This window comes from Homo sapiens, chromosome 13 (assembly GCF_000001405.40).
Source record: "Homo sapiens chromosome 13, GRCh38.p14 Primary Assembly".
Taxonomy (NCBI): Eukaryota; Metazoa; Chordata; class Mammalia; order Primates; family Hominidae; genus Homo; species Homo sapiens.
Genome location: NC_000013.11, coordinates 98,792,401 through 98,819,776, shown reverse-complemented (window position 1 = coordinate 98,819,776; position 27,376 = coordinate 98,792,401). Strand labels below are relative to the sequence as shown.

The window sequence follows — 27,376 nt, the reverse complement described above, 5'->3', positions numbered from 1 at the left end:
CTCATCCAAGCGTGGTGGTTAAACCTTTAGAGCTAGCTCATGTCCACTTTACCCTTGACTGACAGTGGTCCTGGAGCCGTGAAAGTCACATGGCACATCCTCAGTGTTACAGCGATTCTCCACAACAGTAGTGGCAGTGAGTAGGGAACTTGGCCAGTGGAGTTTGGGTGGCTGTTCTGCCTTTGCCGGATGCCAGCACATACTGCCCTACTTCATTTTGCAAATGTGGACTGGGCTTCCTTGGCACTGAGCTGGGGGCCAGAGGTCTGAGAGTGAGTAAGCTGTGATCCCTGCCATAGCACACTACACTCCTACTGCTGCTTTCTGCCCTCTGAGGAGAAACACCTCAACCACAGTCCCTCCAGTCTGAACTGGAAGTTGTCTGAGTTCTTCATGACTTGGAAATTTCTAGATTGACATATGTTGATGAATTCCATAGACTGGCCATGTGCCGTGTGCTAGTTCAGGAATGTGTAAGTGGAAGTCCCTGCCTCAGAGATTTTCATCCAGTGCAAGAATCCTCAAGCTTTCAGGTTCTTAGGAATTAGTTGGATCCCTGCTACAAATATAGATTCCCATCCTTACCCCCCAAACCCAGATTTTGTTGGGTGGGTGTGGGGCCCGGGAATCTGTATTTTAAGCATCCAAGGTGATTATTCTGATGTAAGTGGTCCTCAACTGTACCTTGGGAAATGATGATATAGTAGAAATGTGCATTATGCTGTGATAGCACACTGTTGCCTAAGCCAGGTCACACATTTGCAGTTATTCCCAAATGGTAGGTAATACCGATGGCATCTAGCTTCATAGGTAAGGTTAGTTAAATTAATCCTAAAATAGAGCAAATGGTATCTCAATGAAAAAATGTTTAAATAACCCTGCACAGACATAGGCTCATGCAGGCATTTTCATGCACATGTGTGCGCACACACACACACACACACAATGTTAGTGTGCTGTTTCCAGAGACAGATGCTCAGTGCCTTCAATTGCATCACTGTGGCACACTAAAATGGGCCTGGATAATTACATTTTTAAAAGCTTCCTTGATGGCTTATGAACTTGCTGCACTGAGTTCCTTTTAAGTCTAGGCTAATATCATAAAATATTAGCCTAGACTTAAATATTATGACATATTTTATAATATTAAAAATATAAATATATTATGAAATATTTTCCCCCAACCAGCTTTTACTTAACAGTTCTTTGCATATGTCAACAATATAGGAAAAAATATCTTGGAATTTAAATTGTAAGCAAAGTGGTAAAACCATCAGGCACTCCATATGACTGCCCTATAAGGTTATCACTATCTGACCATTGTCTGGATTTGTTCTGGTTTTCAGGTGCAATGATTGCTGAGAATTTAAAGTAAATTAATAACTGGAATTTCTGCTGAAAATGTTATTCATATATGCTCCAATGTTTAGTTATTGTGTCTTGGTCTTTGTGACTGAATAATTTTGTATTGGTGTATGGTCTCTCAAACTGAACTGCCGGTTGATTACCAGTTATTTCTATTCAAAGAATTGTTACTTGATGCAGAAGCCGTAAAGGATTAGGTATAGAGTTGGCATTAACTTGAATAATATAGCTTACTAAATTAGGATTTAATGTTCAGTAATCCACACTCTACTTATGTGAGAGGTGGACTTACTTTTGTAATATAAAAGCTATTTTTAGTTTGTTATTGGGTAAAATCTGTGCTAACTCTGCTTTTTATAGTGTATAATACCATTTATTTATAATAATAAGTGATATTTGGACTGATAAACTATAGAATTTGAATGGCCTCTGAGTCAGAAAAGAAGACGAAATAATGTTCAGTAGAGTATAAAACTTAATGATTTGTTATTTCCTAGTTCTTGATAACCATCAAATTGTGAGACTTATTTCATAATTACTTACTAAGCTCTATCTACTTTATCAAACTTTCCTATTTCCCAGCCATTTTGGAGACTCTCCCTTGTTGAAGCCCATCTTTTTTTTTTTTTTTTTTTTTAGCAAATATAACAGGTTCTCCCATAATGAACTCAATTATCTGTATCATGTGGTACATACATTATATCATATATCAATACTTATATGCTACTTAAATTCAGGTTTTGTTGTTATTAAACTATTCACTTATTTATAATTTGACTACACAAGAGTAAAAATAGCATGTATTCGAATCATAGTTTAGGCTAGATGTGGTGGCTCACACCTGTAATCCCAGCACTTTGGAAGGCAGAGGCTGGAGGATCATGTGAACCCAGGAATTCAAGACCAGCCTGGGAAACATAGTGAGACCCTATCCCTACCAAAAAAAAAAAAAAAAAAAAAGCTGGGTGTATTAGTCTGTTCTCACACTGCTATAAAGAACTACCTGAGGATGGGTAATTTATAAAGAAAAAAGGTTTAATTGACTCACAGTTCCGCAGGTTTAACAGGAAGCATGGCTAGGAGGCGTCAGGTAACTTACAATCATGGCAGAAGGTGAAGGGGAAGCAAGCACGTCTTACATGCAAGACCTGTCTCAAACAAACAAACAAACAAAAAACCCCAATCTTAGTCTATCAGTTAAAAACATTTGACTCAGGAGACCACCCATAAATTCTGTTTGGCATATATTTAATAACTGACTAAATCTAGAGCTACTTAAAATATACCTGAAAGCCTGCTGTATACAGATATCTTGCTTGGATACACAGACTATCATTTTAATACCAAGTAATAAGATCTTCCTTATATAATACCTTATTGTCTGTTATGGTGGTTGATGTGTGTCTACATATGTTTTTATGTCTCATAAAATTATCTACAGTTGATTATTAATTTATGTTTGACTTAGGAAGCTCCGAGTGTGCCAGTTCAGTGAAGATATCCCTTCCCACCTCCACAGCCTCATCTCTTATCACTCTGATTGCGATTTTAGATTCCAGGCCCTCAAACTACATGTAAATCCTCCCGTGCTGTGCTGCCTTCACCCTCTTGCCTTTGCTTGGGCTGTTCCTGCAACCTGGGCTGTCTCCTCTCTTTTCCTTCGTATTCCCACCCCCACCTTTCACTTTCACCTGACTAACCCGATCCTCTTTTCAGACCCAGCCAGTCATCACTCTCCTCAGCTTTCCATGCCTCACCTTCCCTTGTGGCCGGACAGATGCTGCTCTTTCCCGCCTCCCTGCACATTTCGTTATTCGTGCACTCCCGCCATCTTTTACCATCTCTTCCTGGACCTAGCTCCCACACGAGACTCTGGGCTCTAGGAGACAGGGAGCGTTCCTTCACCTGACTGTTCTTTCTTCACCTGACCTCACTACCGCCCAGGGACTCACTGACTACTGTTAAATGAATCAGTACCCGTTGCTCGCAAGTCAGAGTGCCTGCCCCTGCGACTTGCATCTTGGGCATGTATTTGAATTCATTGGGTCTTCCTCTGTCCTCCGTGTCTTACCATGTATATCACGTCTCTTCTGGTTGGTAGTCTTGAGTCTCTAGTACATCAGTTCTGGCTCCTCTGAGGATGACCGTGTGTGTCTTTGAGGAAGCAAATTTCATTCATGACACATAGCCTAATAGACCATCCAAAACCTGCCCTTCACATTTGGTAAAAATCTATTGAGTAATTTTTATAAATTATAGAAACTAAATCCTATTTATATAGATTTGTTTTATAACCCCAGTGTCAAGCGCTGTGCCTTGCATGTAGTAGATGCTTGATAAATATTTGAACAAATGATACAATAGGTGGATGACTCAATGATGTGGTGGTGAGGACACATAGTTGTAACTTTGGTAACTCTTTGAGAAGAATTTTTCATTTTTAATGAGATTGCATTAAAATTGCACCAGATTATTATTATGCTATAACTGGTATGGCGTGGAGTTAAGACTCTTTATGTCTCCAATCTGATCCACAAAGGACAGGGTGTCATTGTAGATTTACATCTACTGTGTGGACCATGGCTTACTAGTGGACTGGTCGTAGTTTTCCACAAAAACTTTACATTTCTCGGCCGGGCGCGGTGGCTCACGCCTGTAATCCCAGCACTTTGGGAGGCCAAGGTGGGTGGATCACAAGGTGAGGAGATTGAGACCATCCTGGCTAACATGGTGAAACCCCATCTCTACTAAAAATACAAAAAATTAGCCGGGCATGGTGGCAGGCCCCTGTTGTCCCAGCTACTCGGGAGGCTGAGATAGGAGAATGGCCATGAACCCGGGAGGCAGAGCTTGCAGTGAGCCAAGATCGTGCCACTGCACTGCAGCCTGGGCAACAGAGTGAGACTCCGTCTCAAAAAAACAAAACAAACAAACAAACAAAAAAAAATTTTACATTTCTCTTTGAAAAGGCCCAAAAATGAGAACCGAAGGTACCAAATGATTAGTCTGTAAGTAAACCTAAGGACAGTTTTAAAATGGGAAAAGTTCCATGCCCTTGATGGTTTCATTATTAGAAGTATGCCTTGTTATACAATATGTCTTCCCCACGGGAAGCTAGGTCTTCTTAGAATTCTTCCACCTCTACTGCAGTCCCACAACACCACTGAGAGTCAAGATAATAAATACACACTGGCAGTGTATTTGACCTAAGATAGGCCAGAAATGCAAGGCTTTGGTAAAGGGAATCTTAGCTTATTTCCTCACAGACAAGGACAGCTATTATTATCTAGTAATATCGTTAATATTACTAAGAAAAGTACACATTGATTCACTCGTCCAATAGATACTGGACTACCCAGTGTGTATGAGACCCTGTGGGATTACATAGATTATATAGCCTAGTAAAAATTAAGGTTATTTTATTTTATTTTATTTTATTTTATTTTATTTTATTTTATTTTATTTTATTTTATTTTGAGACAGAATCTGACTGTCACCCAGGCTGGAGTGCAGTGGTGCGATTTCAGTTCACTGCAACCTCCTCCTGGGCTGAAGTTGTTCTCCCACCTCAGCCTCCCAAGTACCTGGGACTACAGGCATGCACTACCATGCCCAGCTAATTTTTTTGTATTTTTTACAGAGATGGGGTTTCACTATGTTGCTGAGGCTTGTCTTGAACCCCTGAGCTCAAGCAATCCACCCACCATGCCTTCCCAAAGTGCTGGGATTATAGGCATGAGCACTTAGGGAGGCCGAGATGGGTGGATCACTTGAGGTTAGGAGTTTGGGACCAGCCTGGCCAACATGATGAAACCTTGTCTCTACTAAAAATACAAAAATTAGCTGGGCGTGGTGGCACACCCCTGTAATCCCAGCTACTTGGGAGGCTGAGGCAGGAGAATCACTTGAATCCGGGAGGTGGAGGTTGCAGTAAGCCAAGATTGTGCCACTGCACTCCAGTCTGGGCGACAGAATGAGACTCTTGTCTCAAAAAAAAAAAAAAAAGACGTACTTCTTTATAATACAGATACAAAGGAAAAGAGTGGGTGTGAAAACCTTTTCTGATTTCTTCATGTCATTTGCTGCTATGGTGGTTACTACATGTATCTGGCTTTAGTGTTTGTATTTATGAGACCTGCAATAAAAGCAGGCAAAACTGATGTACCTTTTAATAAGCACCGGTACAGAGTTCAGTCACACAAATGACACTTTTATGACTCGTGTGCTATAAATATGATGTAGGAGGTAAATGGTCTTGCTTAGATAGCGTTTTCTGCTAAATTGAGTCACAACTGCTTTACAAATGTTTATTTACTTTGAATCTGTAATCTTTGTAGGCATTAGTCCTGTAGTGAAACATTAGGGCTGGTAATGAAAAACACAGGCCTTGCCCTTCATTTACAGTATTGTGAAGGATATAAACATTTTCAAAAGCAACTATAGACCCTTAATAAAATATTAGTAAATTGAAGGCTGGGCGCAGTGGCTCATGCCTGTAATCTCAGCACTTTGGGAGGCTGAGGTGGGTGGATCACCTGAGGTCGGGAGTTTAAGACCAGCCTGACCAACATGGAGAAACCCTGTCTCTACTAAAAATACAAAAAATTAGCCGGGCATGGTGGCACATGCCTGTAATCCCAGCTACTTGGGAGGCTGAGGCAAGAGAATCGCTTGAACCCGGGAGGCAGAGGTTGTGGTGAGCCGAGATCACGCCGTCGCACTCCAGCCTGGGCAACAAGAGTGGAATTCTGTCTCAAAAAATAAAAAAATTAAAATTAAAAAAATATATATTAGTAAATTGAATCTAGCAATACATAAAACAGAGAAATGCATCATGACCACGTAGGGTTTATTCTGGGAGTGCATAGCTGGCTCTGCATTGAAAAGCCAATCAAATTAATTGATCATATCAACAGAATAAATAGGAAAAACCATATGATTTTCTCAGTAGATGCATACAGAGTATTTGACAAAATTCAACATCTATTCATAATTTTTTTAAAAAAATGAGAAATAGAAGGAACTTCCTTAACCTGAAAACAAAAAGACTGTCTACAGAAAACCTATAGCTACCATCATATTTAATTGTGAAAGACTGAATGCTTTGCCCCTAAAATTGGAAACAAGACCATAATACCTGCTTTACTGACTATTCAATATCATGCTGGAGGTTCTAGCCAGTGTAGTAAGGCAAGAAAAAGAAATAAATCTTTCCATATTCACATAAGACATAGTTATAAAGAGAAAATCCCGAAGAACTTGGAAAATAAGCTACTAAAACTGTTAAGTCCATTTAGCAAGATCACAGGATACAAGATTAGTATACAAAAATTAACTTCTTCATTCTTATACTATGGTTTTACTGTATAGTTCATGATTACTTAATGTAATTTTTAGAAACAAATAAGCTGGATGATATTTAATCTTATTCAAACAAAGCACTTTCCTTTAAAGTGATCATCAAAACTTTAAAACAGTGCTATTTACAATAGCATAAAAAATATCGCCATTTATTTCCTATTTAGATATACTGACATTCATCCATATGAAAATATGCAGGTCATTAGCTTACTATAATTTACTTTTGACTTAATGGGGCATAAATAAAACTTTCATAGTACACATGAGGTGGATATTTGATACACAGAACATTTGCGGTGGGCTTTCTGTGGGTTAGATGTAAAGCCCACATATTTTAATATTCACTATTTTAAATGAGCAATGCATGAGGGGAATGCAGTGTCAGTACCTGGCCTATTTTTAAACTAGTGTAATCACCCTAGTCATACCATTCAGTATGTTTGCTTTTTAAAATAAGTAACCACAATTAAGTTGTTGTAGCCCTTGCACTTCAAGAGATCTAGTCTTTACTTTCAGTTGTCTGTTAGGTCCATTCTGTTTACTAGACGGATGTTAATAAAAACTATGCGAGCCTGAATGAATTCTCAGCCAAATTTAGTCTTGTCTCTCATCTTGATTGGATTAATTCCAAATTCTAAAATGATTCAGTCCACAATAGCTCTAGGGGATGAAGAATTTGCCTTACTTTGCCCAGTTCCTAAGACTGTGAGTTGTCAAATCCCTAGACTGTAAGCTCTTCAAGGAGCAAGAGGCGCATTTTCTCCGTGTCATGTAATTTTTCTAAGGTGCTTGGCAGCACTCTGTACCCTGTGGAGTACTCAGTACCTTTTGTTTGATGTTGCTGACAAGACCTGAAAAAAAATCCCTTAAAAAAAAAACCCATTAAAGTGTAGCAAAACCGAAAAAAAAAAAAAAAAAAAAAATCCTGTGGTTTGACACAAGGATGGGCACATATATCAATGGAACAAAACAGAGAGTCCAGAAATGGACCCACACACTTATGATCAGTTGATTTTTGACAGAGGTTCAAAGGCAATCCAATAGAGAAAGCATAGTCTCTCATCGAATGGTATTGAAACAATTGGATATACATATGCAAAAAAGAATATTTATACTTCATTAGAAAATAACCCAAAATGGGTCATAGTCTAAAATGTAAAATGTAAAACTATAAAGCTTCTGGAAGAAAACATAAGAGAAAATCTTTGTGAACCTGGGTTAGATAAATATTTCTTAAATATAACATATAAAGCATAATCCAGGAAATAAAAACTTGATAAACTTTGTTTACAATTAAAAACTTCTGCTCTTTAAAAGACACTGTTAAGAAAACCTAGACATAGGCATACAGACCGTGGCACACGTCTGTAATCCCAGCACTTTTGGAGGCTGAGGCTAATCACATGAGGGCAGGAGTTCAAGATCAGCCTTGCCAGCATGGCAAAACCCCATCTCTACTAAAAATACAAAAAATTAGTGGGGCATGTTGGTGCACAGCTGTAATCCCAGCTACTTGGGAGACAGAGGTTACAGTGAGCCAAGATCATGCCACTGTACCCCAGCCTAGGCAACAGAGCAAGACCCAGTCTCAAAAAAGCTAAAATAAATTTAATATTAAAAAAAAAACCCTAGAGACAAATCACAGATTGGGAGAAATAGTTACAAATCACCTATCTGGCAAAGGACATTTATCCACAGTATATAAAGAACTCTCAAAATTCAATAATAAGCAATCCAGTAGAAAAATGAGCAAAAGATTTGAATAGACACTTTACCAAAGCCATATATAACAAATCAACAAATTAAAATTAATTCAGCATCATTAATGAAACCCCTCTAAAATGGGCTTAAACATTAGAGATCAAGTATTGGATCCCACTAGGAAATTCCACGGAGAGATTAACATCAATCAATCCAAACCTTTAACAGAGTTATTCATGACACCATCACTTTGCTGGGCAGCAGAAGGGAGGCCCTTCACTCTGCTACTGAGGCAGACAGGCCCCCTTCCATGGCCATGAGATGAATGCCAGCTCAGCCAAGCTACAGTCTGGTAGGAGCATTTCTTAGAATTCCAAGCTGGGGTCCTAAAATTCACCCTGATTGGCCTGCTTAGGTCACATGTCCACCCACGATGAAGCAATGACTGTGGCCAGGAAATAGATTTGTGCTGATTAGTGTAAGTCCAGGCCACAATTCTTAAGCCATGGGTAGTGTTAACTTCCTCCAAAGTTCAAGGGTTTTAGTGGAAGCAGAGTAACTACCCAAACTTCAATTGGTAGAAATGTCCAAGGTGAAGCAGGCACGGTGCCCCCCACACTCCATCACTAAATCCCTTTAATTTGTGTTAAAATCATGCTTAGTAAGGCTCCATGTCTTAGCATTGTCATTGTTCCTCAGAAAAGGAAAAGAAATTTCTAGATGATATTTATTAAGACAACTAGGAACAAAAATTGAGAGCCCCTGTGATGGTATCAGTGTCAGTTTTTCCATGTATTATGCAGTTATGCAGGGTGATCCTTTTTCGTTTTTGCTTGTGACCATGATCGAGAAAATGGCTCCCTAAAAAAGAACGTGGTGATGAAAAAATGGCTCCCTAAAAAAGAATGTTGTTGTAAGTGTGGAAGTGAGTGTTGATGCATGTTGTCTATTGTGAAAAATTCCTCCTGGCAGTCTTAGCACTTAGCATTCTGCAACGGGTGCCATGTCACGTTCCCCATAACGCTCTTCTCTTGCTGTTGGCCCTCCTCTTTGATCAGGATGTGCTGATGGAGCTCCTTGAGCAGTGCGCAGATGGACTCTGGAAAGCCGAGCGCTACGAGCTCATCGCCGACATCTACAAACTTATCATCCCCATTTATGAGAAGCGGAGGGATTTTGAGGTATGAGAGTGCCTTTTTGTTTTTTTCCTATTTGAGAGCATGACGCTGTGACATATACCCAGACCTGCATATATGTGAGAGAGGAAGCAGGCCATGGGCCAGAGATGAGTGGGGGTCTCTGACCCTCCACGTTACGCTGAAGGTGGTGGCCAGTCATCATCTCCAAATAGTCATCGGGTATCACCCAGACCTGGGCCCTACCTCTGTGGAGACCCCCACATCTCAAACTACAGAGTAACCGGCACTCCACTTTCGAAAGGCTGCCATGAACAGAGTTTTGTGATCACCAGTTGTCCCTTTTCTGAGAACTCTTCCTTACTCCACCTGCGTGAAAAAATGGTGTCCCTTCCGTCCATCCTGGGCTTGGGAGGTCATCCAGTTTCTCTAGGCATATCAAACAGAGCAGGAAAAGCAAAGGCCAAGAATCACGTTGGGGAACCATCTCTGACATCGCATCTTAACTTGAAAACAGAGTTTGCTTACTCTAATGTGGAAATGTGATGGGTCCTCACGTGTGGGCTGGCCTTTGGGTAGGAAATGTTACCATTCATTAATGATCACTACAAGTTGTGCAGCCAAAATGTGTGTGTGTGTATTTTTATTCAAGTTCAAGGACTTTTCACCTCCATTATCACATTTGTTATTTTAAAATCGATTCTCCTCTTTGCACATGGGAAGAAATGGGCTTTGTTCTGCTTTCCAGAGGCTGGCCCATCTGTATGACACGCTGCACCGGGCCTACAGCAAAGTGACCGAGGTCATGCACTCGGGCCGCAGGCTTCTGGGGACCTACTTCCGGGTAGCCTTCTTCGGGCAGGTGAGCCTCCTGTCCATTCTGCAGACTGTCCTAAGTCCTTTAAAAAAAAACAAAAACAAAAACAAAAAAAAAACTATAATAAAGTTATATCTTATAAATTCTCTGTTTTCTGTAATTGCTAATTTGATGAATTTGTCATATTTAGTATGATTCTTATCTTCCTCAGTAGTAAACTTTCTGCTTTTTTTCTTTCTTCCTGTCTTTTCTTTATTACTTTCTTAAGGCAGCGGTAAGTTCTTCCTCCTTAAGACATTCTTAGCAACATCTTTGGTACTTCAGTGTGGTTTGCAAGTTTGCTTTTCAAGTCTGTATGTTTATCTGTCTAGTTATTACAAACTCCAAAAAAATTAACATTTTATTCCATTTACAGAAATAAATCACCTGTTTTCTTATATATCTATATTGCATGTTTTAAACCAAAATTAAGACTTTCTGGTGTCCTTTGTGCCTGTGCATCTTTATCCTTTGTAGTATAATATCTCCACAAGTATATTTACAGTTTTTCAGAAACCCTATAGGAAAGGGTTTATCTAAATTTAACTTAAATTTTAACCTTCGAGTCCCTTAACATTATTAAATGGTATAAATTATAATACATATATTTAGGGCGTGTGGTTTTCTATGAGCATTATATAACCTTCAATTTATTCTGTTATTGTCTTTTATAACTTTATAGCAATACCAGTTTACAGACAGTGAAACAGATGTGGAGGTAATTACAGTAAATGCCTAAAAAGCAAGTAATATAGTGAAATTACTGCGTCTAAACTCCTAGTTTGATGTGGATGTTTTTTGTTTCATGCTAGCTTGCATTTTTTTTTACTGTTTTGTGCACCATTTTCTCTCTCTTAATTTACGTGAGAAACTTTAAAAAATTTTCTTTTAAACATTAACCCCAGTTGGACTTTTTAATTTTCAACCTTTTTCACTTCCCATGCAATTCTAAGCCTTGTAGTCAAACATGATTGGTGCTAAAACAGATGATGACTGGTGATATGAAAATATTTTCTGATATTGAGCTACAGGTCTTTAATATTTTTTTCTCATCGGTAAAGCAAAATACAATTTATACAAGCTTTACCTAACTTTTACTAAACTTACTCCAGACCCCCAAACGCTTCAGTTCATGCCATAAAATCCTGTGTGCATGGGAGCCATCAGGAGAAGGGAGGCATGTCCACTTCTGAGCCTGCCTGTCGTGGGCTGCTCATCATTTTCTAGTGAGTTCTGCTTCTTGGGAAAGTGAAACAGGCTTGACTCCCATTAGACTTCCCTGGGACAGCTTAGTCTTGTATCCAAAATCTTTCATTTCACTCAACACTTAATGACTGCATTCTTGAATAAGTTTGCAATGTTGTGTTTTTCCTTTACCTTTGCACCTAGACTTCATGTTATTAGCATTTTCTTTCTCATTCAGAAAGCCCATTTCAGCAGGATTTTTAGACCCATTCCTTTTTTTCCCCCTTGTAATAAAAGAACGCTTCCTAGGTGGTAAGCCCTGGGCTTACGTTCAGGGATAGCTCTAATTGTGCTTTATGTCACAGGGATTCTTTGAAGATGAAGATGGAAAGGAGTATATTTACAAGGAACCCAAACTCACACCGCTGTCGGAAATTTCTCAGAGACTCCTTAAACTGTACTCGGATAAATTTGGTTCTGAAAATGTCAAAATGATACAGGATTCTGGCAAGGTATGACCATGTTTGGATAAGTTTCATAGCAATGTAATGTTGTGATTGATTACATATTATATATTTTTAAATGTATATAGAAAAAAACACAAGAAAAATATTAAGGATTGTTGGCCGTGAGTGGCAGGTGTATTTTCTTCCTGATACCTTTAGTGCTTTCCATTACATGCTTGACATTAAAAAATCTTTATCGCCTAATTTTTGAAACATCTAATTTTACAAAATAATTAACGTCTGACAGGATATGTCATTTTTAGTCCAGCTATTTAGAAACTCTGACAGAATGAGGCCCGTGGCTTCGCTACTCACTGCACCTCTTCCTGCATGTAGCACATGACTTGCCACTCTGTCACTGACGGCTGGATGTAAGGACAGGTGAACAGATGGGCGGATGGGTGAATGGACACATGGACAGGCCAAGGAATGAACTCACCAGCAGCGTGACTGTGGGAATGGCGATCATTTTCTGCTTAGAGAGCTGTCCTCTGGCATTCTGTTCTCATGAAGACCCTTTTGGAACCTGCACCTTTGTCCTGTACCTTTGTGTGTCCCACCCTCCTCAGGACATCTCCAGGAGGTCAGGTCTCCCTCTGCTTCCTGAAGGTGAAACATGGGGCAAGACGGTTTCACTCCCACTGCCTTTAAATTATTCCTGCTAAAGAAAGTTAAGTTTTAATAGGTTTGGATACAATTAGAATGAATGGCCAAATGGCTTTTTCTAAAATACAAATAATAACTTTTTTTTTTTTTTTGAGATGGAGTCTGGCTCTGTCACCTGGGCTGGAGTGCAGTGGCGCTATCTCAGCTCACTGCAATCTCTGCCTCCTGGGTTCAAGAGATTCTTGTGCCTCAGCCTCCCGAGTAGCTGGGATTACAGGAACGCGCCACCACGCCTGGCTAATTTTTGTATTTTTGGTAGAGACAGGGTTTCACCATGTTGGCCAGGTTGTTCTCCAACTCCCGACCTCAAGTGACCTGCCTGCCTCGGCCTCCCAAAGTGCTAGGATTATAGGCGTGAGCCACCGAGCCTGGCCCAAATAATAACTTTCTATGACTTTATGTATTTTCTTCTAAAGTTTCAGGCACTTTTCCATCTGTTTTTTCATTTTTCTTCACAATCGTCTCTGTTTTGAGAACAGTTCTCTTTCATTTGCCTGCCTTATACCAGTATGGTCTCCATGTGCTCTGCACAGCCATTTCTTTTGTGTCCCTTTTTATTGCTCTAGAAGGTTAAATACAATTAAAATGTGCAAAATTGATTTGTTGATTTGTCTTCCTAATAAATTAGCTTTTGTTTCTGCATAGGAATTGCCTATGTTTAATTCTCTATCATGTCACAGAAATGAAAGTACCACCAATTCTAGCAATGTGGTTTTAAAAGCATTTATATGTTAAATAGAAACTAAATTTATCATTAGATTAGTCTAGATTAATCTGTACCTGTATTAAATTAATTGATCTGCAGCTGTTGCATCTAATCTCAGCTGTCTGTAGATTAATGATAATTTGGAGGCCTAGCTTCCAAACATTATTCCTAAAATAAACATTTATCTCTCTAAGCCAAATATATTAAAAATGCAGTTTAAGAAACAATCAGAGAAATCCAGACTGGAGGTCATTCAATAAGAAAACCAGCACTTTGGGAGGCCAAGGCGGGCGGATCACCTGAGGTCGGGAGTTCGAGACCAGCCTGACCAACATGGAGAAACCCTGTGTCTGCTAAAAATATATAATTAGCTGGGCATGGTGGCACACACCTGTAGTCACAGCTACTTGGGAGGCTGAGGCAGGAGAATCACTTGAACGCTGGAGGCAGAGGTTGCAGTAGCTGAGATCGCGCCATTGCACTCCAGCCTGGGCAACAAGAGCAAAACTCTGTCTCAAAAAAAAATAAAATAATTCAATGTTATGGGAAAAATGAATGATAGGGAATTCTTCTAAATTAAACATGACTAGGGACATAACAACTAAATGTAAAGTGTGATTGTTGATTAGATTCTGATCCAAACACAAATATCTATAACTAACATTCTGGAGACATTTGAGAAAATGTTAATATAGACTGGGTATTGGATGGTATTAGGGAATCAGTGTTAATTTGGGTAGGCATGATAATGTATTGCGGTTATAGAAGCAAATGTCCTTATTTTTAGGAGAAGCTGACTGTAGTATCCTGACGTGTACCACTTACTTTGAAATGGTTCTACTGGAAAAAAAAAAGTCTGTATGTCTGTGTGTGTGTGCACATCCATAAGTGTATGTGTATGTATATTTGAAACAAATATAGCAAACTGCTAGCAGTTGTTGATCCAAGTGGTGGATATGTGGATGTTTGTTGTACTCTTCTCTCCGTTATATTTACAAATAAAATGTTGGAAAATACCACGTAGGTAAGAACTGAGTGATTCCTTCATGGAGCACCAATCTCCCATTGTGCTGTTTCAATTAAAGGTCAACCCTAAGGATCTGGATTCTAAGTATGCATACATCCAGGTGACTCACGTCATCCCCTTCTTTGACGAAAAAGAGTTGCAAGAAAGGAAAACAGAGTTTGAGAGATCCCACAACATCCGCCGCTTCATGTTTGAGATGCCATTTACGCAGACCGGGAAGAGGCAGGGCGGGGTGGAAGAGCAGTGCAAACGGCGCACCATCCTGACAGGTATGGGCCCCAGAAGCCGCATGGACACGAGCCCGGACACCTCGCCAAAGAGCTGTCCAGAGGGATTCAGAAGCTTCAGGACTGGAAGGGTCTTTCGAGCTCAGTTAGCCACCCCCACACCCATTTCAGTTTCACATTTATCTAGTGCTTCCTTTTGAATACTTGGGATGTTTTTCTGTTGATCTGTTGACACTTCCTTCTTCCACAAGACCAGAAGCTCATATCCAATCTAAGGTCACTTACCCTTCTGAGAATCTGATGAAAATGGCGTGCCTTATGTGCCTAGATGCTTTTGCACACAGTCTAAGGTGACTTATGGACTCCAGGTCCAGCAGCCACACCCAGTCCTGGGTCTCCGCACAGGGAGGGACCCGTCTCACACACCTGTCTCAGGTTCTAGCATGGCCTGCTCAGCGGTCTCAGGCTGTGAGTAAATGGGATGTGAGCTTGGATCGCCCCACGCTGTTGCCCCCGGGGGCTGGCCAGCTGCCACTTGAATGCCTCCTCTGCCAGGAAGCTCACTGCATTCAGTGGCTATCCACGAGTTCAGCTTAGGCAGTTTTCACTGATCCCTTTGGCACTGTTTAGCCAGTGATAACCCACTCTGGGAAATGTGTTTTGCATCATTTCCCGGTCCCTGGCAAGTGTCTAGTCATCCTGGGGTGATTTTTACCTTCTGTGGGAGAGCTTGACCCATCCCTGCCTCATTAGGGTCAGCGACATCACTGGGGTAACCTAACATAAAATGCTTTCTTGACCAAGAAATATCAGTGGGAGGGCCGTTGAGAATGCCAGGTGTGCCAGCTTTCACCACACGTCTTCCAAAGAGTGGCCCTAGTTAAGTCAGACCAGGAAAGGGCCTGCTCCCCGGAAGTTGGGGTTGTTGAGTTTCTGTCTGGGTAATAATACACACTATCATAATAAGCGGAAGGAGCGCTGTGGAGATGCTGCACCCAGGTGCTTATCAGCTCTCACCGGCGAAGCGTATGCTTTAAAAAGAGAGACTGGATGGCGTGGGGTTTATATCTCAGTAAAGCTGTTACAAAAAAAAAAAAAAAAATACAGGTTTTTATGAATTAGCCCAGGACAGCGTATTGCAGGGAGCTTTTCACACTCCCTATGAGGGAAAAGAGATACAAGTTAAAACAAAACTGTGTTCTTAAAGTGTCCCTAATCCTGCTTGTAAAATAAGAAGACAGCATATATAAAGCACAAATAATATTGTCCTCACAAACATCACCCCACCCCAAATAATTTAATTATTTTTTTAATGCACACATCAGTAGCAAATTCTCATTAAGCCAAATAACTGCGCTTCCAGATGGAATCACTTTATGGGAATCACCAGCTTACAGTGTTTATGGTTCAGCTGTGATAACTTTCCTTCTGACCCTTTAAGTCAGTGGTTACCCAAGGTTGGTCCAGGACCAGCAGCATCAGCACCCCCAGGGAACTTGTTAGAGATGGAAGTTCCAGGTCCCCACCTCCGAAACTGCTGGATCAGAAACTCTGGGGGCGGGGCCCAGCTCTTTGTGTTCAACAGGCCCTCCCGGTTATCCTGGTGCATGCTCAGATTAGAGAACTGCTGCCTTTAATAAACCTAGTTCACTGCTGAGTCAGGGTCAGGATTTTTTAGTATGGTTATTGTTAAGGCAGTGTACGGATTCATAAACATTCATTACCATAGGCTGTTTTCCCAGGGCACATTTCTCCAGGGTTACAGGTCATCATTTTGTTAGAGACTACTTTAGATTAGATAAAGCACATGAGCAATGCTCTGTATCTGCGGGAACAAGGGGACAGAGAGTGCGCTTCAGAGAGAGGTGGGGCAGACACCTGTGTTGTTGGCTTGGGGATTGCCGTCCACAGCTGTGGGTTGAGACAGCCTAAGCAATGGCGAGGCTGTCCTGGGGGTCCTGTAGGCCTGGGTCACAGCCTCATTGTGTGACCTTGGGCAGGTCACTCTTCCTCTCTATGCCTTAGTTTCCTCATCTGTAAAATGCAAGTTAGGACACTTATCTCATTATATTGTCATAACTTTGTAAATAGTAAGAAGCAAGGGAAAGAGCGTTCTTCATTTTTTGCTAGATTTCATCCGCTGTTGAGCTAGATACACACACCAGGGCGTTCTGAAGGCTAGACCTGAGGGTTTTCCCTCAAGTTATCAACCCCTCAGGTTCTTCTTCCATTGCATTGCTTTGTACCTAACCTTTGGCCTTCCAAAGGTCAAAGGGAGCCCAGGCCTTCCCTGCCCTCTACACCAGGAAAAGGCTCACCTTTCTGGGTAGTTCCCAGTCAGCTGACTGTAACTGTGCAATCATTTGAAAAACCTCATGATCACCCTCCAGCCTCCTTCAGTGGAAATTTCTGAGCCTGTCCCAAAGAAGGGGGGCGAGGAGAAGCCTCCTCCACTTCTTTCATGGAACTTTTGCCAAGGAGTTTCTTCCCAGTCACTATTCCAGAGTCTTCCAAACCTGGATTAGCTTCCGGCCCTCCACTTTCTATTCAAGACACACAGACCAGCAGTCACCATACTTATCACTGGGCCTTCCCCGTCCTCCTTTCTAAAGGGCTGGCTCAGTCGGTCACCTAATTGTCCACCTTCCAGAGCCAGTTTGGACTCTCATGCAGCCATTTGGGCAGTAATGCATTCATTCATTCAACAAAATGTATTGCACACTGACCATGTTCCCATTGGCAGGCTAATGAAACAGACATCTGTGGGCCTGTGCAGCTGGCATTCTAGCCAGAGGAGACAGATGATAAACAGTACCCAGATGAGTAAATATAACCGTGGTAGAACGTGATCTGTGTTCCAGACAAAGCAAAAGGAGACTGGGAACCTGGAGTTGACCTCCTTCCTCAGAAACAGGAAGGCAGCCCCACTCTTCCCCTGAAGCACAGCCCCCTGTCCAAATACAAGCAGGCATCTGCCAGCACTGCCTCCCTGACTAGGGAGCAGCGAGGCCGAGTCCTCACCATCCTACCAGGGAGCTTTGTGGATCCCCAGTGCTACCACTTAAAATCTGTGAAACCAAGTCGGGAACCCTTCACCTTTCACTGATAAAACATTGTGAAAAGGCAACAGGCCTATAAGTACGTGACATATGAGGTTGCCTCAGGGTGGACATGTTTTCCGCTTTTGTCCAGATGTTGGGTGGCCCATCGGAACTCTGTGTTTCACAGGGGCTGGGCCTGTTTCCCATCCTGTGATGAGTCCTTCCCAATTGAACTCTTCCCTAGCCAGTTGCTAACTAGAGACCAGGACCACTCCCATCTGACGTTTGCTTGTTCAAAAAAAATAATAAGCTTTTAAGTACATATCTACCTGCCTATTAGTAAATATATGTCAAGTGAGAATATTATAGATATTTCTATATTATATAGAGCAATAAGAAATGTGAAATAGTAAATGAGAACCTGCTGTTTTTCTGTTCATTTTTAAATTAACTCCTTTGTGTTGATGTTTAGGTATCTCATTATGATAAAGGAAAACAATATTAATCAGATTTTTTTGGTTAAAAAATATATAAGAAAAAGTAAATATTTTTATTTTTATTTCTTATTCATTGCTGTAAGTTTCAAAATACCTTTATTAGCACTACAGCTCCAAAAGTTTGTGAATTTCTGGTTCATGAAATCCTTTGCTTAGGAGTATATTCTTTGTGTTTTTTTGGTTTGGGTTTTAGGGGAATGGTTTTTGTTTTCTTTTTTGAGACAGGGTCTCACTCTGTAGCCCAGGCTGGAGTGCAGTGGCACAATCACAGCTCACTGCAGCTTTGACCTCCTGGGCTCAAGCCTCCTGTGTCAGCCTCCCCAGTAGCTGGGACTACAGGCATATACCACCACACTCAGCTAATTTTTTGTATTTTTTACAAAATTACAAAAATTAGGTTTTTGCCATGTTGCCCAGGCTGGTCTTAAACTCCTGGGCTCAAGTGATCTACCAGCCTTGGCCTCCCAAAGTGCTAAGATTACAGGTGTGAGCACTGTACCCACCCTAGGAATATATTCTTACTTATTATTTTCTACTGATTTCTCAGCTTTGTGCAAGCTTAGCATGTGATTCAAAGTTATTCTATGGACAAAAATGAATTTTCTCAAGGATATTTTTATGGAACTATTTTCTGGACTTAATCTGTTATGTAGTATCTCAAAATTGTTTAGTCTTTTTTATGTTGTCAAAGTCATCTTATATCCACTAACTCATTCAAACCTCAGAGCTTCCAAGGAAGGTTTGAGTGGGGAATGATAACCTCATTTATTTAAAGACACGCTTGTCACATTAAAAGGATAACAAGGACCCAACTCTCTTGACTTTACGAGACACACGATTGTAAAGGAAGACAATATTCTAGCTCCATCAAGTACTAGTATGTGTCTTTGGCAAGCTTTGGGTTCCTTATTTTAAAAATGTAAGTAATAATGACATGTATAATAATCACTTCTAATAATAATCAGCTCAATAACACTAAAGCTCGTGCAAGCCATGCAGTAATTCTGGGGCTTACCCTCTGCAGCCATACACTGCTTCCCTTATGTGAAGAAGCGCATCCCTGTCATGTACCAGCACCACACTGACCTGAACCCCATCGAGGTGGCCATTGACGAGATGAGTAAGAAGGTGGCGGAGCTCCGGCAGCTGTGCTCCTCGGCCGAGGTGGACATGATCAAACTGCAGCTCAAACTCCAGGGCAGCGTGAGTGTTCAGGTGAGCCAGGCACAGCAGGCCGGAGGGCAGCAGGGGACGTCCTTGCCCCTGGGTGACTTGAGAGTCGTTTCCACTAACAAGGTCTACTTGAGAGCCTCGGTTTACCAAGTGATCCCTGCTCCCTTCCCCCAACGTCTGTGACATTTCTCCTGATATCAGAGGGGGAGGAAACCTCATGATCCCTGCCCCCCGCCCCATGAGGACTGACTGTGGGGACAAGAGCCAGATCTCATACACTACCCTGATTTGTCAGTATTTGGGGAATTCTGGGTGCCTGATTAGAAGCATCAAGACTCTTCTAAATACAAAGAAGTGTGGAGAGCAGTAGATTTTCCTATAAAACTGTTGTTTGCTGTTTTCTATGAAAATTGTATCCAAAAAAGTACCTTAAGTTTTACCCTCTTAATGGTATCTTTTGATTAATGAATTCATTATTTTAATATAGCCCAATCAATCAATTTTTCTTTATTGGTAGCATTTTTATGTTCTCTTTAAGAAATCTGTGTCTACTCCAAAATTTCACAGATGTTCTCCTAGGTTTTCCTCCTTTGCTCAGCATCCACATCCAGGTCTGCAGTCCATCTGGAATTGATTTTTGTATATGTTATAGTGTAAGGGTCAGGATATATTTTTTCCATATGACCTTCCAAGTGATATACACAATTTATTGAAAAGATCATCTTTGATCTAGATACTAACATATATGTTCAGTTTGTGAAAATTCATCAAGCTGTATACACTTGTGATATATGCGCTTTCCCGTTTGTATATTATACTTTAGTAAGAGGTTTTTAAAAAGTTATCTTACTTACATGGTTTCCTAGTTAATTGGTAAGTGTTAAATCACTCCCTCCAGTAACAAGTATGACTCTTATTTTCTGGTATTTTTAAGTGTATATAGTTCAAGCACATGTTTGTTCATATGTATATGTACATGTGTGTATATATGTATTTGTATATCCTATTGTTTTATCTTTCAAGAAGGGTATGTTTATGAAAGTTACATGTGGATTATAATACATAGGTTTTGGTTTTTTTGGTTCATTTTCTGAAATTATATTTTGTCAACTTCCCATCAGATCCACGCTAAAGAACCGTGAGTTGTTGCCCAACATTTTTGTGTCATTCACCACAAAAGCATTTACAGATGTTTTTAATCTCTTTCCTTATAGTCTCAAAGACATATGTGCCAAAATAAGTTAGCAAGTGAACATAAGTATTCCAGCAACATGAGTGATTATGTAACAGGTCCAGAGGCCACAATTTTCTGTAGCTAAAAACAAAACCACTCAATCAACATGATCTTGGAACATCCAGCCCCTATGGAAAGGCCGCTGGAGGGGTGTGGCACCAGTCCAGGGTAGGGCTGGACCATTGAGCTTTGTAAAAGGCAAAATATGCCCTGCTAATTTGATGGTAAACTTAGCATTTTATAAAATTCCCAGTCATCTTAAAAAGCAAGAAATTCCATGTTGAAATGAGAAGATTAAGTTTATACTCATACCTACCAAAGTAACAACAAAGTTGCAGCCAGAGGAAATTAACTTTATCATTTTATTTGCGTATTTCTGTAATTGTTTCATCAAGCAGCTCACTGGCGCTGCAGCTTTACTGGGCAGAGCCGTCTGCGGAGCTTCTTGTCATTGCACTCCAAGATCTTGCTATTAGACCTTATGGAGTCTCATCAGCCTTCCTCTTTCTATCTTCTTCAAATACAGACCGTCTTGTATCATTTTAGATGATCAGTCATTTTGGTCGTCTTCAGGTGATGAATACAGTTCCCCCCACGCACCAGCCTGGTGCTGAGTTCCACCCTCAACGCACCTTGGGCTGTTCACCCATTGCCCCCGGCTCAGAGGTCCCCCTCTGACCACTGTGGCTGGAACCTGGAACCCTCCTGTGTCTCCACGTCTGGTGTGAGTTCCTGTGGCTCAGTTTTCCTGCCATTGCTAGACAAGTCCTGCCTACCATGGGTCAGAACCACACACGGGGAGCTCCCCTAATTCCTTGCTAAGCTCACCAGACCTTCCGGGAAATATCAAGCAGTGACCACATAGTCACGTTCTTCCCCAGGCTGTCTCAGACGCCTGGAACATTCTTCTTCCCATCCCAGTGTGTCCAGCCTTCTTTCTCACCACGTTCTTACCTTTCCTTACTTATCCAGAATCAGCAGACCCTTCTTAGCTGCTTGCAAGGGTGGTGCAGGGTTCTGGTTCACTCACCGTGCTGTCTGCTCCTAACATCTAGCTCTCCAGCACACCGCAAACGCTCACTTCATCCCAGGATAGCAAATCAGTTTGCCCATGGCTGTCTATACAATTCAATGAAATGAACAGTTGGGTTTCAAAAACTGGAATAGTTACTGCATTTTTCAATTTTTCACTGAATTCACCAGATTGGCCTGTTAGTTCAGTGTAGTGCAGCACAAATCCCAGTGACTAAACACCTTGGAAGTAAGAATCCTTGACCTGGATTTGGAAGACCTGGGCTGTGATCTCTGGCGTTTTGCTTATTGGCTCTTCAAACTTCAACAGGCCCCTAAGTTTTCCAAGCATTGGTTTCTTCTTACATAAAGTAAACCATCATCACAAGTGCCCTGAAGATGGCTGAGATCATGGAATCAAGTGGTGTGCAACAGAGTGAACTTTGTGGTTTCTTTTTGGGCTTAAGTTCCTGGAAGGCAGGGATTGTGAGTAGCTCACGCGAACGGGCTTTTTAGTGCCTGCAAACTGAAACTGAGCAGATGGTCATGGTGATTTTCTTCCTAGTGGAACTGAAAATCTTTGCTCTTTGTCTAGGTCAATGCTGGCCCACTAGCATATGCGCGAGCTTTCTTAGATGATACAAACACAAAGCGATATCCTGACAATAAAGTGAAGCTGCTTAAGGAAGTTTTCAGGTAAAGCACACTGAAAGCATCTTTTTCTCTTCGAGTATTGATCATTTCTGTACTCATTCGGGAAGGAGATGCTGCTGGTTGGACTCATGCCTTATCCTCTGCGTGCCTTTGTTTCTCCCGCCTGTACCATTCCAGGCAATTTGTGGAAGCTTGCGGTCAAGCCTTAGCGGTAAACGAACGTCTGATTAAAGAAGACCAGCTCGAGTATCAGGAAGAAATGAAAGCCAACTACAGGGAAATGGCGAAGGAGCTTTCTGAAATCATGCATGAGCAGGTGAGGGCCGCACTGGCTCCAACAACTTGGAGTTCTTGGTTAGGGGTTTCAAGTACACCCTATCATGACTTAGGCCGCCTGATATCCTTCCAGAACTGTGACATCTGAAGGAGAATGTAGCATACCACACTCCTGCCATGCTCTAGCCCCAGGTCATTTGGGAACAGCTAACAGATTGCCCATATGCTGTTATCTACGGCAAGCAGGGGAGAGCGGGCCCGCCTCCTCGTGGCTCTAAGAGGTGGCCATGTTTCCTAAGCTTTCTCTCTCCCCACCCCCGTCTAGCCAAAAAGAAAAGAAAGGAAAAACTCACACGAAAATATCCATACTGTTCTGACAACTTTATTCCTTTAATCCTTTGAAAAAAGCAGGACTTGCCAACCTGGTTTAAGGAATTATCTGTTGCATTCAATGTTTTTGCTGTTTAAAAATACAGACTGATTCCATTTTTGATGATGTACAGTGGGCCTTGGCGCCCCAGTGGATTCTTCCTTTAAGTTCCTTGTCACTATGGGCATCTTCCCTGATTATTTTGCTGTTATCTCTTTCCTGTGGGTTTCTTCAGTAGGATTCTATGTGTGGGCTCAGTTGTCACAGAGGAGACAGTGTCCCATACCCAGGGAATGCCTAGAGCAGCATCCACATTGTTTTTTTTGTGAGGGGTCTGTCTCAGTCACTGTCCTTTCTTTATAATTGACATTAGCACCTTGATAACACAGAACTGCTCTGTCTGGCCCCTCCATTATCGTCCTTCAGTCTGGCACAGTGGAAGCCAGGGCCGTTTGTGGAGTGATCCTATCCCCTGACAGTTTAGTTAGTACATTTTCATTGCAGGAAACGAACGTCAGTGTGTGAGCTTTAACTCACTTGCTTTTTTTCTCCTCCATGCTAACACGTTCAGCTGGGATGGTAATGTCATTTTTAAACATTATTTTTCTGATAATCTGACTTAGAAAAAGCTATTACTTTTTTGAGTTTGAGCAACTACAGACATTGGCATAATGACAGTACATGGGCAGAGGAAAGCACCCTCTTCTGGACATTTTAAAAAGTAGAGGCCAGACATGGTGGCTCACTCCTGTAATCCCAGCACTTTGGGAGGCCAAGATGGGTGGATCATCTGAGGTCAGGAGTTCGAGACCAGCCTGGCCAACATGGTGAAACCCCATCTCTACTAAAAAATACAAAAATTAGCTGGGTGTAGTGGCACATACCCTAGTCTCAGCTACTCGGGAGGCTGAGGCAGGAGAATTGCTGGAACCCAGGAGGTGGAGGCTGCAGTGAGCCAAGATCATGCCACTACCCTCTAGCCTGGGCCACAGAGCGAGACTCCATCTCAAAAAAAAAAAAAGTAGAAAAAAATTGAAACGATTAGAGAAATGAATGTCTGAATAATTAAGCAGAACAGGAGGGACTCATGGGAACCGATTTTCAGAGAAAACTTGAGATCTTTTCTGTGGAGCCTCCAGATTCCTATAGAATGGAGAGTTTGGTCAGTGGGTGCCGACATTGGGCACTAGAGAAGATGAAAGTAGTAAGAGATCATAGGCTGAAACTGTTAAACTCCCAAAGTACAGGGATATTTAATGCACTTGCTGTCAGCTGCACCTTGAACTTCCCATTATGCCAACAGCTGTGAAGACTGAGCCCCCGTGAACCCCTGAAGGGCCGTGGCGGGGGTAGACTTGCTTTCGATGTTTCCAGGGGAGCCTCTGCTGGAGGTGAAGACCTACACTCAGATCCTTCCAGGCACCACTGGGCATGGAAAGATACTTGTTCAGGGTCAGAGGAGTAGCCACCCTCTCCCAAGACAAAATCCGTAAGACCCTGAGAAAAGGAGGCAGGAGAGAAACACAAATGCTTCAAATTCATTTTTAAAGGCTTTTTCAAGGTCAAGGCTAGGTTGTGTCCCAGTCAAGCACATGTAAGTAGACCTCACGTTGCCTTAAGTAGACCTCACGTTGCCTTATGATCTGGTGAGCGTAGAAGGCTCTCCATTCACTAGCTTTGTAAAAGAAACAAAATGTGCTGTTCTTGACTTTCTCCTTATAATCCTCACCTGAAAACAGTCATTTATGAGATAAGCTGAACATCTCCCTCTGTAAACCAGCAGCCAGGCTTTCCGGCTGCACATCACTCACGTGATGGAGTGAGTGTAGACTTGTGTGTGTGATGTGGGGTGCAACACATTGAGAAATATCTGCTTGCATCCTTATACTCAGTAACATTGTGTTGCACGTGGCAACATTGCCTTAAACTCTGTAACATTTTGTTACACTTGGTAACATTGTGTCACACATGGCAACATGGCATTGCATATGGTAACCTTGTGTTGCCCTCAGTAACGTTGTGTTTCTGTCCTCAAGATCTGCCCCCTGGAGGAGAAGACGAGCGTCTTACCGAATTCCCTTCACATCTTCAACGCCATCAGTGGGACTCCAACAAGCACAATGGTTCACGGGATGACCAGCTCGTCTTCGGTCGTGTGATTACATCTCATGGCCCGTGTGTGGGGACTTGCTTTGTCATTTGCAAACTCAGGATGCTTTCCAAAGCCAATCACTGGGGAGACCGAGCACAGGGAGGACCAAGGGGAAGGGGAGAGAAAGGAAATAAAGAACAACGTTATTTCTTAACAGACTTTCTATAGGAGTTGTAAGAAGGTGCACATATTTTTTTAAATCTCACTGGCAATATTCAAAGTTTTCATTGTGTCTTAACAAAGGTGTGGTAGACACTCTTGAGCTGGACTTAGATTTTATTCTTCCTTGCAGAGTAGTGTTAGAATAGATGGCCTACAGAAAAAAAAGGTTCTGGGATCTACATGGCAGGGAGGGCTGCACTGACATTGATGCCTGGGGGACCTTTTGCCTCGAGGCTGAGCTGGAAAATCTTGAAAATATTTTTTTTTTCCTGTGGCACATTCAGGTTGAATACAAGAACTATTTTTGTGACTAGTTTTTGATGACCTAAGGGAACTGACCATTGTAATTTTTGTACCAGTGAACCAGGAGATTTAGTGCTTTTATATTCATTTCCTTGCATTTAAGAAAATATGAAAGCTTAAGGAATTATGTGAGCTTAAAACTAGTCAAGCAGTTTAGAACCAAAGGCCTATATTAATAACCGCAACTATGCTGAAAAGTACAAAGTAGTACAGTATATTGTTATGTACATATCATTGTTAATACAGTCCTGGCATTCTGTACATATATGTATTACATTTCTACATTTTTAATACTCACATGGGCTTATGCATTAAGTTTAATTGTGATAAATTTGTGCTGTTCCAGTATATGCAATACACTTTAATGTTTTATTCTTGTACATAAAAATGTGCAATATGGAGATGTATACAGTCTTTACTATATTAGGTTTATAAACAGTTTTAAGAATTTCATCCTTTTGCCAAAATGGTGGAGTATGTAATTGGTAAATCATAAATCCTGTGGTGAATGGTGGTGTACTTTAAAGCTGTCACCATGTTATATTTTCTTTTAAGACTTTAATTTAGTAATTTTATATTTGGGAAAATAAAGGTTTTTAATTTTATTTAACTGGAATCACTGCCCTGCTGTAATTAAACATTCTGTACCACATCTGTATTAAAAAGACATTGCTGACCATTTGGGGTGGCTGCTGGGTGTTTATTGTTCAGCAGTCCTAAGGGAACAGGATACCAAAATCCTCAGAGTGAAATCACACGGGGTCTGAAATTTTCTTTAAAATACTTGAGTGGGGGAAAAAAAGAGTGGGTAGAGACCACGGGACTGACAGAATGCTGGTCACTGTGGAGGCTGAAGTTGGGTGCGGGGGAAGCATGATACCAGTTTCTCTGCTTTTGGGGAAGTTTCTGTGATACGGATTTCACAAGCAGGGGTCACGTCTTCAGAGGACCTGGATGAATGCTTTGTTGGACCGTGGTCAGGATCTAAATCATACCAGTTACTCCCAGGTTCACGTGGACACCTCGCTAGCTCTGGCTTTTCCCCTTTGGCTGTAGCAAGACGTCCATCTTTATCCCCTCACTTACTGGCTTTCCAGATGAGAACTCTGGGATAGTGCATAGGTGGCCAGGTGCACTCCCTGTGCCCCACGTGGTCAGGATCCCTGAACCAGGTCACATGATGGTTCCAATTGCAGGTGCTGTTCCTGCTTCTGGTATGCCCGGTGGCCCCAGCAGGTAGGTCAGCTCCTTGTCACTCAGCCCCATATAGTTCCATGATGGAACTAAATAAAATACAGAACAAAATAAAATAGCTGGGTTTTTGCCTTGAAGGGCTGTAAAGGCTGTCTTTTTACATGACCAGTTAAGGAAAGAAAACTTGAGGTGCTGTGCACCCCTTGAGCACCCAGTGGCCAAGGGTCTTGTGGCATCTGAAATATTTGCTACCTACCAATGATAAGGCAGGAGGTCTTGGGAAGAGATAAAGAGGTAGCAAAGGGTCGCCACGACCCACCAGAATCCACAGCCCACTTATGCACTCATGACGCCATTGGGACTTACCCAGCATACGTTTGTTCCATGTCGCTGACATCCCAGCCGGGGCTAATAAACCTTAAGGCAAACATCAGCATGTCTGGGAGAAGAGCCTGGCGCTGAGCTGGATCGTCTAGTCATAAATGCCTCATCCAGAAACCATAAAACTCAAGTCACCATGTAGTAAGATAAATAGAAGTCTAGAAAGAGCCCATGTCAGATAAAGGTAAGTTT

The 27,376-nt window shown here is 41.6% G+C and overlaps 1 protein-coding gene across 41 annotated transcripts in view, besides 1 other annotated feature; it reads left to right on the top strand.

The window, feature by feature from the left end:
- DOCK9 (dedicator of cytokinesis 9) overlaps positions 1 to 26,348 on the top strand; it is a 295,191-nt gene extending 268,843 nt beyond the window's left edge. For 17 of the 41 annotated variants that reach the window (XM_005254035.4, XM_047430235.1, XM_005254034.4 and 14 more), the window contains 8 exons: positions 9,486 to 9,608; positions 10,312 to 10,425; positions 11,970 to 12,116; positions 14,568 to 14,778; positions 19,299 to 19,489; positions 22,288 to 22,388; positions 22,524 to 22,662; positions 25,029 to 26,348. In XM_005254035.4, the coding sequence (XP_005254092.1) occupies positions 9,486 to 9,608; positions 10,312 to 10,425; positions 11,970 to 12,116; positions 14,568 to 14,778; positions 19,299 to 19,489; positions 22,288 to 22,388; positions 22,524 to 22,662; positions 25,029 to 25,151 (1,149 nt within the window). In that variant the 3' untranslated portion in view covers positions 25,152 to 26,348. Of the gene's footprint in view, positions 1 to 9,485; positions 9,609 to 10,311; positions 10,426 to 10,648; positions 10,655 to 11,101; positions 11,138 to 11,969; positions 12,117 to 14,567; positions 14,779 to 19,298; positions 19,490 to 22,287; positions 22,389 to 22,523; positions 22,663 to 23,563; positions 23,572 to 25,028 lie in introns of all 41 variants that reach the window. The other 24 variants (XM_047430231.1, XM_006719937.4, XM_006719931.4 and 21 more) reach the window with 3 other exon arrangements.
- Positions 11,391 to 12,590: an enhancer, noted in NCBI's record as "CDK7 strongly-dependent group 2 enhancer chr13:99459441-99460640 (GRCh37/hg19 assembly coordinates)". NCBI's record gives its function as "activates an origin of replication core promoter dependent on BRD2, BRD4, P300/CBP, MED14 and CDK7 cofactors, with strong dependence on CDK7, by STARR-seq in HCT116 cells {active_cell/tissue: HCT116}" and the evidence as "EXISTENCE:reporter gene assay evidence [ECO:0000049][PMID:35650434]".
- Positions 26,349 to 27,376: the final 1,028 nt, after the last annotated feature.